This window comes from Homo sapiens, chromosome 7, assembly GCF_000001405.40.
Source record: "Homo sapiens chromosome 7, GRCh38.p14 Primary Assembly".
Lineage (NCBI taxonomy): Eukaryota > Metazoa > Chordata > Mammalia > Primates > Hominidae > Homo > Homo sapiens.
The window spans coordinates 12,083,440-12,096,948 of record NC_000007.14 but is presented as its reverse complement, the minus strand read 5'-3'; the positions used below and the strand labels follow the sequence as shown (position 1 = coordinate 12,096,948).

At 38.1% G+C, this 13,509-nt stretch overlaps 1 long non-coding RNA gene across 1 annotated transcript in view; it reads left to right on the top strand.

Moving 5' to 3' along the window:
- Positions 1-2,211: 2,211 nt before the first annotated feature.
- The window catches only part of LOC124901589 (uncharacterized), a 204,867-nt gene continuing 193,569 nt past the window's right edge, over positions 2,212-13,509 (top strand). The window contains exon 1 of the long non-coding RNA XR_007060211.1: positions 2,212-2,296. This is a non-coding gene — a long non-coding RNA (uncharacterized LOC124901589). The remainder of the gene's footprint in view (positions 2,297-13,509) is intronic.

The following is a 13,509-nucleotide window of genomic DNA, read 5'->3' as shown; positions in this document are numbered from 1 at the left end:
CTCATTGTTTTATTTACACCTCCTTAATGACATATGATGTTGAGCATCTTTCTATGTGCTTATTTTCCATCTGTATATCTTCTTTAAGTATCTGTTCAGATTTCCTGCCTACTGTTTAAATGGGTTTTTCTTCTTATTGTTGAATTTTAAGAGTTCTTTGGTATTTTGGATACCTGTTCTTTTTTTACAGATATGTGTTTGGCAAATATTTTTTCCCAATCTGTGGCTTGTCTTTTCATTTTCTTAACTTTCCGGAGATTTTTATTGCTAATCCTTCCTTTTTATGATAAATGATTCCATCATTTTCATACCTAATTCAAAAGACATTCATTACAGTCTCAGAATCTTGACATCTTCAGTCTAAATTAGCACATACTACTTAGAATCTGACCTAAATAATTTGCTATTTTATTATAAAATAAAGTTTAATATAATGTATATATCATCTGTATATATATGTATAATGTATATATCATCCAAATCAGTCTTTTATTTCCTGCTTACTCATATTATTAGACTTTTTTCTTTAGAATAATAGTTTTGAATTGTTTTCTGCTAATTAGCCATGGTTTCTATTTTGAACTTTCTAATGTGGTGTTTATTGAAATAAAATCTATTTTTAGTCTATCATTTTCTTACTACAGTTTTTATGAAGTAATCTTTAATGCATATTGCTAAGTGAAGGAAGCCTGTCTGAAAAGGCTGTATAATGTATGTAGCCGTACATATCCAACAATATGACATTATGCAAAATGCAAAACTTATAGTAAAAGATCGGTGGTTGCTAGGAAGTTGGAAGGGGCAGGATGAATGGAAAAGCACAGGTGATATTTTAGGACAGTGAAACTATTCTGTATGATACTTTCATGGTGGATACAGGACATTATGGATTTGTACAAACCCATAGAACTGTGAAACAAAATGAGTGGACTGAAGGTAATAACATTGTATTGGTATTGGCTCATTAGTTGTAATACATGCACCAGTAATGCAAGATGTACCACACTAATACATAGGAGAAACTGTGTGATAGAGAAGTAGAAGGAGTGAAGCTGAGGGAGTAATGGGAACTCTGAACTTTCCGCTTAATTTTTCCATCAACCTAGAACTGTTTTAAAGATAAAGCTTATTAGCTAAAAAAAAAAAAAATATCTCTTTGCACGGGGATCTATTTATTACCATGGAGAAGAATGAAGTCTTGGGCTCAGTCTATCAGTCTATCTTAATGTTTACTTTGAATGAAGGACATACTCCTCTTTCATATGGATAGAAATGAGATAGAACAGTTATCAAGATCCTATGCAGAGAATTGAAAAGGCTGTTGTATGAATAACCGATATGAGTTATATCAGAAACCTAAGTTCAGGGAAGAATACACACACATATAATACCAAAAAAGAAATTATTCAAATGTTTATTAGAATAGTAGATGCAGGTAAGTACATATGGAGTGAAGTATAGCTAAAATCCAGTTATGTCATTATTCTTGATAAAATGTTTTAAAAGAAACCAACAAATTTGGGCACATACAGTGATTTGTAAAGAGGGACAGGTGATCTGGAATTATTTGAGATAGATACGGTTGGTGACTGCAGTAGGGTTGTAAAGGAATCTGGCTAGTTCTGATACTGTGTTTCACCTGAAAACCAGGATCACAAAGCTATATCCTAGCAATATCTACTCACAAGCCAAAATCTATTGTCTTAAAATTTCTGCTCACCTTTTTTAGTTTTATCTGTTGAAATGTAAGTTTTAAATGTAAGAACAAGTCTGATCTAGGATATATTAATAATAGTATTATAACTTCTTTTTGTTTTCCCCTGTTGTGTATACATTTAATCAATAGCCTAGTTCTTCTCCTGACCTTAAACTAAAGCAAACCTCTTAATCCTTTGGCCAAACAAGTTTTATTTTAATGATTATATTTTCAAATTTCACATAACAATAAAAACTCTGTGCCTGATTTGAAGTTGAGAGCTCTCTGCTCCATGAGTTTAGGCCTGCTGAATAGGCTGAATGCCTACAGTTGGAGAAGGGAAAGTGATTCATTTCTCTTCTCCTTCCCTATCTCCCTCCTCTGCTCCTGCCAGCACAGGGGTTAGAGCACAGGAGAGGGAGAAAGGAATGCTTTTGCTGAAAGGATAGCTGGTACCGCCCCTGGGTTTGCTGCATCCGGCAGGAGTTAAAGCTATCCTCATATGTATTTCTTGTAGAGTGCTCTCCCTGGTTATTCCAGAAACACCAGTCGCTGAGGATCTCTCACCTGCAGTTCCCTGCTGGATCTTCATTCTGACTGGTAAGTTATTCCTTCTTTGCTGAGGTCTTCACACCTCCTCCTGTGGTTTTCATGGAAAGGAACTTATGTAACCCCATACTTGCTCCTTCGTGTGACCTGCACCTGGTTGTGGAAAATCCTGATGCATTCTTTTTCCTTAAACCTCTGAGTACCTGCTGATCCCCATGTGGGGATAATCTCTCCTGTGCTTTTCATTAGAAAGGTAGCCAGGTGCCTGGTTTCTGTGTATTTTCCAACCCCCAGGAGATTCCCATCACTCCCCATAGCTCTTCTTTGTTGACTTGGGGTTGAAAGATAGTGCTTCCCCATCCCTTCATTCTTTGAAAAACTCTACTTTAAACCTTTATTCATCATGACCGAGGGGTGTAGGAGTCACCTCGTGATTCCTGGCTTCCATAATAAATCCTTGTTCAGAACCTCACTTTCCCATTTTAATCTCTTACAACAGAAGCAACCCAGAACATACTTTTTCTTCAAATATTGAGATTTGTAAAGAATCCTTCTGTCATCTCATTTTTATGCTAAAGTCATTTACTGAAGGAGTGACATCCCCAGACTCCTCAATGTCATCTTTCCTGTTTTGAGCTTAATGTGATCTAATTGAAGAGGACCTTTTAAATATGTGGCAAGTAATAAGACAAACCTACTAGACCAACAATGATAATTCAACAAAAGACACATATTTGTGATGTATAAATCAAATGCTAATAAGATATGCTCAACATTTAAGTATTTTACCCATGAGAGGAGTGGGTGATGGTTTTTTAAAATATATATATATATATGTATATATATGTATGTGTATATATATGTGTATATATATGCATGTATATATATGTATATATGTATATATAGTGTATATATGTATATATATGTGTATATATATATGTATATATGTATGAAAAAGGGTTAGTGTGAAAGGTGAAAGCTCCCTCCTATGAAATGGCAGAAGAAATTATTTAATAAATTATCCGATGCATATTTTGTAGATTTCTATATTTACTTTCCTTAGATTGCTAAGTATGAAAGCATGACCTACTTTTCCTCAACTTATGCCTCATAGTGGGTATTTGCTCTATTCTCTGTACTGCTATTTTCTCCCTGAGTCACTCTTCTACAGAAAGCACTTCCAAAATTTACTCATTAAAGACAGAGAGTTCTGAGAATCTTAATCAAATATTCATAGTTTGTATTCATCTGGTTCACAAGTCTGTGAATTGCCAATTTTTGTTGAATTATTTATATAAAAATGAACACATTTTAACTCTTATTTAATTGGCAGTATCTAATAATATCTCCCATTTGCTACTCGCCTTGTGGACATTGAGAGAATGGTTCAGAAAATTCAACTGGCATTGGGGAAGGCTGACCTAGATAATCCTTTTTTTGGAAAATTATTGATTTGTGCCAGATTATACATTAAAAATCTCTTCTTAAAATTATGTCACTCTTTTCCTTTCTCCTCAGTTAAATCTATGGGATCTCCCTTTTTTTTGTTTCTCAATTGTATCAGGTTCCAGCCCCAGCTGAGGTCCAAGGGTAGTGGGTGGATGAATGGCAGATAGCTGAAAGAACACTCGGGGGCCATAGGCAGGTGAAATGTAGTTTTATTCAGCAGCTCTCTCATCAGCAGCTTAATCACATTAGCTCTCTCACATTGTTCACCTTTATCTCCGCTGTCTGCTCCAGCTCTGCGGCGCCTGCTGACCCCATGCCTACAACAGCATGGCCGGCTCTCCCTTGCCTTCAGGGTCAGCAGCTTAACTCTTTCTGTCTCTGGGCACCAGCAGGAGTCCTGCCATGACTCCTCTCTGTCTTGCAGATGGACACCTCTGGTTCTCTCTCTTTCTCTGGGTACCAGTGCCATGTCAAGCCATGCCCAGGAGCCCTTACAGTGTCAGCAGGGCAGTTATACCTTCTACAGACAATAGTGGCTCAGAGCCAAGTATGAACTTACATAAACAGATTATGTAACAAGCAGAATATGTGCCTGCACCCTAAACTTGCTGAGTCATGCAGGCCTGGATGTCTGCCTTGGCCTAATTCTTGACCAAAGCACATCCATGTACCTTACACTCTACCCACTAGGTTGAGGGAGACATAGGTTTTGGACAAACAGGTTTGATACATAGCTTTAGGCATGCAGACCCACTATACAGCTTTGGCACATAGGCCCCAGACACATAAACCTGACACATATGCTCTGGGACGCAGGTTTGGGCACGCAGCCTTGATACATACACAGGGGCTTTGATAAACTGCCCAGCTATAGGTGCAGATTACCATAGGTGTTGTCTCCTTGGTGATTACCATTCTCAGTGCCCTGAATTCAGCTCATTAGCTACTTTGCCTACACCTGGTTTCAAACCACATCGTGTCAGTACTAGGCTGGATTGTGACACCAGTCCAGGCAGCAGTAGCACCTTGGCTAGACCCATCTGTATACCATGCCCTATTAGGAATGGGGGGATGCACTTCCTAATGGTGAAAGCTCAGCGTCTAGGGGTGCCTCAGGCCCCATGGCCTTATCTTGCATTAGGATCCTAAGGCTTCTTGTAACTCTGCTGCTAAGGGAGTTGTACTCAGGGTACTTCATTCTTCCAGGTAGGCACCCCACTTCACTAAAGTGGATATGTGCCATCCCAGTCCGGGGGGCCATGAATGCACCCATCCTGCTATTGGGTAAGTTGTCCACACGATGATGACTGTAACCCATCCTGACATGCTCTTATGAGCCTGAAAGGCAGTGTATGCAGTTACTAACTGCTTCTTTATTAATGAACACCAGAGCTCAGCTCCCTTCCATATAGCTGGGACTAAAAGCTTACTGGTTCTTCCAAGTACTCCATGCACTGCCATAGGCTCTAACCAATACTATCTGTAATTTCATGTACATCAAGTTTAAATGGGAGCCCCTGGTTAACTACCTGCAGGGCTTGAGCCTGCTGAATAGCCTGCTTGGCTATTGGAAAAGGCTGCCTCAGTCTTATCCAAATCTAAGGCAAGAGGGGCGTTGCCACTTTTAAATCTGCAAGAGAATCAGAAGTTAACATAACATCATCAACAAGACTATGACATAGAGTGGGGCTATGCATATTGCCCTGTAGCAACACTGTGAAAGTCCATTGTCACCCTCCAATGAAGGCAAACTATTCCTGGTTCTCTGGACAAGAATCCCAGTTCCATTGTTAAGCAGTCCAGCAAGTCTGTGACAGATGGTACAGCTGCCAAGCCGTGTAAAACATCCCCAGCCAGAATGTCCTCAGGCATGGGAGAGACATACACAGTTCATGAGCGGAAAACCAAGCAGCAGATACCAAGATGCAAAGATACAGGTTTCGCTTTCACTGACCAGTCTTCATAACCATCAATAACTGCAGCTCTGCCCAGAAACTTATCCGGGTTCAGAGTCCAGTAGATTGCCAAGTCCACATATGGTCTTTGGTCATCCAGTGCCCCCCTAAGCCAGGCATCTTGGTCAGTCTCTTATCAAACAGAAAAGGCTTTACACTTCCACCTAACTGCAGCAGGCAGTCTGTGAACTGGAATGCTTGGGCAGGACTGGGTTGCGCAGCAATGTCCTTCTCCCATGTGACTTACACTAAGTCTGCACATGACTGCCGAGATTACTTGCTTAACTCCTGCAACTCAGTGGGGGTATAAGCACTATAAGAGCTGTGTTCCACCACTGTGGGGGGGCCCTGGGCTCTCCCCTGGGGTCCCATTGGCTGCTCATGTTCTGCCTTCTGATGGATCACAGGGTGAGCCCGCAGCAGAGGAGCCTCCTCCCTGCCTGGCATCCTGCAGGAACTGGGCATGCACCTCCCGCAGCACAGTTACAAATGCCCGTCTGACTCTGCTGGCAAAGGCATGTTCCTCATTGGTGCTGTGCACTTCCAGGTACTTCAGTGCCCTCTTCATACTCACAGGAGACCCATCCACTGCCTCCCATGTTTCCATCAGATCCCATCCTCCTCGCAGCATGGCTGCCACTGGGTACCACAGTCCATGCTGCGGCCACAGAGCCAACCCAGGAGCCCTCAGGGGCTGAAGACCCACTCACCTTATCCTGCTGACAATGCCAATTGTCAGGTTCCAGCCCCAGCTGAGGTCCAAGGGGAGTGGGTGGATAGCTGAAAGAACACTCCGGGGGCGCCATAGGCAGGTGAAATGTAGTTTTATTTAGCAGGTCTCTCAGTAGCAGCTTACTCACATTAGCTCTCTAACACTGTCCACCTTTATCTCAGCTGTCTGCTCTGGCTCTGCAGCTCCTGCCCTTCCGGCAGCTGCATAGCAGGCTCTCCCTTGCCTTCAGGGTCAGCAGCTTAACTCTTTCTCTCTCTGGGCACCAGCACGAGCCATGCAATAGCTGTCCTCTGTCCGTCTGCAAGACAGACAGCTCTGATTCTCTCTCTCTCTTTCTCTGGGTGCCAGCGCCATGTCAAGCCATGCCCAAGATCCTGTACAGTGTCAGCAGGGCAGTTATACCTTCTACAGACAATAGTGGCTGAGAGCCAAGTATGAGCTTAAACAAACAGGTTACATAACAAATGGAGTATGTGCCTGCACCCTAAACTCGCTAAGTAATGCAGGCCTGGATGTCTGCCTTGGCCTAATTCTTGACCAAAGCACATCCATGTACCTTACAAATTGTTTGTCTTCTAACAACTGATAACCTAGAAAAACTTAGGCAAGCACCAAACAACAGAATAGTAACTCAGTAAAGGAGGTGTGGCATGCCCACAAACACAGAACCAGAAGGCCAGGCTGAGTGGATGTGAATTCCTTTTTGTCATTTGTTAGCTACTTTATATTGGGTAGATTTCTTAAATTCTGTGACATAGTTTTTTAATCTATAAAAATAAATAATAGGGCTGGTTGCGGTGGCTCACGCCTGTAATCCTAGCACTTTGGGAAGCTGAGGTGGGCAGATCACAAGGCCGGGAGTTCGAGACCAGCCTGGCTAACCTGGTGAAACCCCGTCTCTACTAAAAATACAAAAAAATAGCCTGGTGTGGTGGTGGGCACCCGGTACTCAAGAGGCTGAGGCAGGAGAATCGCTTGAACCTGGGAGGCAGAGGTTTCAGTGAGTCAAGATCGCGCCATTGCACACCAACCCAGGTGACAGAGCAAGACTCCATCTTGAAAAATAAATAAATTAAATAAATAAATAATAATAGTATCATATACCTCACAGAGTAGAAAAGAGGATTCAATGAGTTAATATATCCATAAAGTGCACTCAATGAATGTATGTATTTTAGTATTTCTAAAATAATAATAGCTCACAAAACAAATGCCAAATCCTAATCTGTGTCTAACAGTTACAGAAATTGTACCAGTCTCAATCATTTTCACATAAAGCAGAAATGAAGGTTAATACAATTTCCTTCCCATGGTTATCGTTTGTGTGACCCTTAGCACACTGGCTTGAAAATTCTAAAAAAACACAAACACAGTACACTGGAATCTAAACGGACAAACTATTTTCAGAAGTATTGGCTATAGAGTGAACCATAGCAAAGGGGACCAGGAATACCTTTTGCTGATCAGGATATTTAATCCTGCACATTGGAAGAAAATAAGAGCTGTCAGCAAGCACACACACCCCATTCTAGAAAGAAACCATCCCCGACAGACTTAATGGGTCATGTGTTCTGGTCAGGTCGTAGGGTTCATGGTTCCCTCACTCATCCCTCACAGAAGGGGCCTAAATGGGAACCCTTAATGCTAAGGGGGTTCTGTGCAATTCCTGAACCTATGGTTGGAGGTGCTCCTGATGTTTTGCTGGTTTAAATTACCTTCTTTGAGTTTGGAACAAATTATTCTGAAGAGTTACATTCCAGTACCCTGTCTACTTTTCTATTTCTGTGTTTCCTGTTTGTTCCTCTTACCACTCTGGAGATACAGGCCACAGTGAGATTGTGTTCACAGTGAGTATCATGGTAAAGAAAAAGGTGGAATATGGTTCCCTAGTCCTCTCCCCACCCTGCCCCTGTAGACCTCCTGCCAACACCCACACTGTGCAGAAAGCTCTGAGGATAAAAGTTCATGGTAAAATCTAGAGATTGTTTTAAAAATGTCTCTGAAATGACTAAGTTGAGAGTTATGTTTTCCTATATTAATGGAACTTTGAAATGGCAAATGATTTATATTGAAATGTATCTTTTTCTACCATATTGTGTGTTTTGTAAGTTATAACCTCTATGCAGTCAATAATGTTATACATTTCAAAAATAACTGACCCTCAAATTCCAATATTGATAATAGCTCTGCATCAATCAATACTAGTCTCTCAGACAAATTAGTGTTTACATTGACCAGAAAAAGTCATTATATGCATATTAGCTAGGTACCACAACATAAATTGAATTAATTTAAGGAGTGAAAAATATACAGCTTTTTGTATTATTTCATATTTGATACTTCCAGCCTTAATTCTTTACCACATTTTTAATGTTAACAAATTATCCCAATGAGCAGCTATCTGCTCATTAAGTGAAATAAAATATATAAAATTTTAGAACAATGTCTGGCTCATAAAGGTACTCATTAAATATTATAATCTGACCTCCTTCAATTTTTATCTTTCAAGACTAAGAAATTAAGAATTTCATCATCTCCATTATATATCTACATATAGATAGAAATGCTAGAAAATGTGGCATTCACATTAAAGACCAAATGCTGCCTCATTGATGTGGCTGATTTATTCTCAGAATGGTGAGTGTGGATGGAGATTACAAATTGGGGAGTACTGCAATGTTTTACAAGAACACTTGATAAAAATGTCACTCTTTCTCTGCCCCACTCCAAAGCACTGTCCATATAACAGGATTTTTATGTTCAAGACCAGGAGTTTGCCTATTCCTTTTTTTGTTCTTATTTCTTTTTAATTTCTCTGTTCCCACCATCTTTACCAATCCCTGTACACATGTGTGTGTGCTGATACATACACATAGTCCAATATAGTATGTCCATGTCTATTCAGTACCAAAATCTTTATTATCACATGAATAAATGCTGCGATATCAACTGTATGTGTTAAGTTTTAAGATTATTACTTCACATTAATCCATGTTTAATAGATAAGGTTCTATAAAATTGCTGATATTTAGCCATATTACACCTTCAGTAAAGATCAGCCTGATATCTTGGTCTTATCCAAGGTATCTGGTCATTGCTCTGCCAGTCAGCAGCACTCTACGTGTGAACATATCATATAATATAATGAGATGCCATTATAATTCTTGGCTAGTCAGGATGTTGCTTCTTAGTTCATTTGATTTGACTGTATGCGTGGTTCTGTTCCACTAGTCCACATTGCTTGCTGGGGTTCCCTTTAACTGCTCTTAAAAACACTCTTCCTTTTTTTTACTGTGACTAAAGATACCTAGACTTATCTTTTTCTTCATTTTAAACTTTTACAAAAAAAAAACAAAAAACAAAAACACAGAAGGAAACTTGACTTAAAATAACTTTTGTTTTATACCCAGCAAAAAGTATCTGAGATAAGGAAATGTTAAGGAGGTCTGTACATGCTTAGAGTGGGAGAGGAGAGAAAATGCTTAGAGTGTACATGCTTACAGAAGGCTTTTTTTATTCTGACCCCTCATCCTCAACCAGCTCCCATGTAGCTCTCCTACTTTGTAGCAAGGCCAGAGCAGAGCTCCAGTCCCAGTGCTAATACTGCGATTAACCCCCAAGCCAAACCCAGCTTTTATATTTGCTTCCAACTCGTAGCTTTTGACCCATTTCAGGATTTTGTTTGCCTGTTTTTGTGGAGAGTATTTTTTTCCCTCAATTTCTGAAAATCAAGCAAAAATATAAAAAGCACGTTATATATTAGATTCAGTTATTTTGTCTTTTTTTCTTTTTTATGGTCTATAAGGTGTACAACGTGATTTTTTGAATACACATATACTTAGTAAAATGATTACTATAGTTGACCAAATTAACGAATCTCTCTCCTCACATAGTTACCTTTGTGTGTGTGTGTGTGGTAAGAGCACCTAGTATCTACTTTGTTAGCAAATTGCCAGTACACAAAATGATATTATTAACTATCGTCATCGTGCTGTGTATGAAATCTCCAGATACATCCTGCGTAACTGCAACTTTGTACCCTTTGACCAACATCTCCCCATTCCTGCACTTCTGTAGCCAGCATTCTATATATCACTTCTATGTATTTGGATTTTTAAGAGTCTCATACCTAATACAATACATATTACAGTATCTGAGTGTCCAAAAATGTTTATTAGGTGAATGTGTACTTGACTACCTAACATTTTTTTCACATTATAAGTTATATGACATTTTGAGAGTTGGGTTTATTTTACTTACCATCGGAAATATTGTTTCATTGGATAGCTCATTTAGTTCAGTTTACACAATTGTTATTGAATATATTTTATGTGCTAGTTTCTTTTGCAGAAAACACATGCCTGCTTGCAAGATTGGTCCTTGACTAGCATCTGGGAACTTTAATGGTAAACAGTTCCCTACAATGATATAAAACTTTAACTACATGAAAAAAGTGGCTTGGTATGCCTAGCTGTGTAAAATGTGGTTTAACACCTGGTTTTCCTTCTAGGAGTCTAGAGTTTTGCTAAAGACTGGGCAGAGAGTATTTATGTGACCAAACCCCAGTATAAACCTTAGACACTGAATTTCTGATGAGTTTCCCTGGTAGACAACACTTCACATGTGTTGTCACAATTCTGTGTTGGAGGTAAAGAGCATATTCTGAATATTTCACAGGGAAAGAACTCTTGGAATCTTGTGCCTGTTTTTTTTTTTTTTTTTTTTTTTTTTTTTTTTTTCTGGTCTTTGCCCCATGCACCCTTTGTCTTTGCTGATTTAGCTTTGTATCCTTTCACTGTAATAAATCATAGCCAGGAAAGTAACTACATGCTAAGTCCTGTGATCCCTCCTTGTGGGTCACTGAACCTGGAGTGGACTTGGGGACGTGTGACAGAGCTGTACATCAGACAAACTGAACATATAAGAAAGAGCCTTTCCCATGAGGAGCTTATAGTCTTGTAGAATAGAGGGAGTAGGAAGTGTGTAAGGGGCTTTTAGATACTCAAATAGATAATTTCAACATCATTTGGTTGATAATAACCAAATCATGCAAAGAGTGCTATGGGAACACCAAGAAGAGACACTCTTTCTAGGAGTTCGGGACAGGTTTTAAAAATGAGAAATACTTTGCCAGGTACAGAAAGGTAGGCAATACATGCCGAACAAAGAGACCTGAATGTAAAATAAAATAATATCAGTGATAAGATTGATAGTAATGGCCACAAGAATAACAATAGCAAACACGAAATGCTTACTAAGTACCAAGAATTTTTTAAGCCCTTCTATATATTAACTCATTTGATTCTCATAGCAATGCTGTGAAGTAGGTAATATTATTATGTGTTTTTAGAAAATGAGGAAATGAGGGTACGGAGAGATTAGGTATATTGTACATGTTCATATAGCTTGAATATATTACTCTGCAGCTTGAACCCAGAAAATCCAGTTGTTACTCTGTGCTAGCTTTCTAAAGAAGGGAAGCAGGATATATTTGTTTAATTATTTTATTTTTTAATTCCAAACTTCTGACATAGAAAATGCTTTTTAAATTATAACACATGCGAGTTGGAAATTTCCAGAATGAAATATGCTACTATTATCTTGGTGGGAAAATAAGACTTCCAAATATAAAATAATAGAAAGCAATATAAAATGTCATATTCGAATATGTAATATAGTCTAAAAGAGGCAATGTATATATTAAGCATTATTTCCTTTATCCATGTGGAGACTTAATGATATCTTCACTTTACCTAAATCCATGATAAAAACATGATAACACATAAATGAATAATTGCCTCACTTATTGAATAAAATCTACACTCTCCTTGGATAATCTTTAATTTGGAGCTTCTCTGCTATTACATCTGACTTAATATTTTCAGTGGTGAATGAATTATTTTTTTTATCTTTGGTGTTCACATTTATACAAACACCAAAGGTACAAAACCAGAGTATTTATATATATTGGTATATATGTCTGAAAACATATATATAAACACCATATATATAGACAAACTCTCTCTATATATATATATGTTTTCAGACCGTTATGTGAAAAGTGGTGAAATAATATTATATTTCATTGTTTTTAAGACATTTTCTTTACTTGCTATATAATTTTTTGAAGTTTTAGATAAATTCAGGCAAGTAAAGTGGCTACCTTTCAACTTTATCTCCTTCAATGCTGTAACAAGGCTGAAAGATATAAATGAAAAAGAAAAACAAGCTGCCCATAGTTTAAATAATATCTTTAGGTCATTTCAGTATTTTAGCATTCTCTTTGCTAACCTTTTGACTGCAATATAATTATTAACAGTAATCATTTCTACTGCAATTGGAAAATTGAAATTTTCAAGTGGTCTAACACATATATTAAAAATGACACTTTTATAGATGGAGAATGAAAGCCAGAGCCTGTATTTGAGCATAATTATGAGATTCATATATTAATGGAGTAATTTTTAGAAATAAATGGCCAAAGACATTTTAAAATTATAAATTTTTTGGAAAAATAATGGTGTTATCTAATTTGAATAGAATTTACTGTGATGCTCAGTATGTTACTTAGAATTACCATGTGATTAATTTTTAATTCCCAGCTTTTTATTGAAGTTCTCCACCTTGTTATCTAACTATGTAACTATGTTCATCATGTTTATTTTAATATCCTTGTCTGATAACTCCAGTATCTACATCAACTGTGGGTTTGTTTCTATTGTCTTTTCTGTTTTCTGGCTTTGATACACTTGGTCTCTTTCCTTGGTATGTCTGATAATTGTCTAATGGGATGCTGTCTGCCTGTTATGTATAAAAATTATGGAGGTAATCTCTAGATACTGTTTTCTTTGTCATGAGAGAATTTCCCTGTTGCCTCCTTCAACCAGAGAGAAGGGATAGAATATATTAATGCAATTCAGCGAGAGATGGAGCTTGTTTAGAATTGCAGTTTCATCTTAGTAAAAGTTGGTTTAACGTTGGTTCACCTCTGAAATAAATATGTGTGTTTGTATGTGTATATGTATACACACATATCACAAATACAAATATAAACATATGTGACATGGGATCTTCTTTGGCTGAGTAGAATTGATATCAACATTCACAGTTCTTGCCTGGGGTATTTA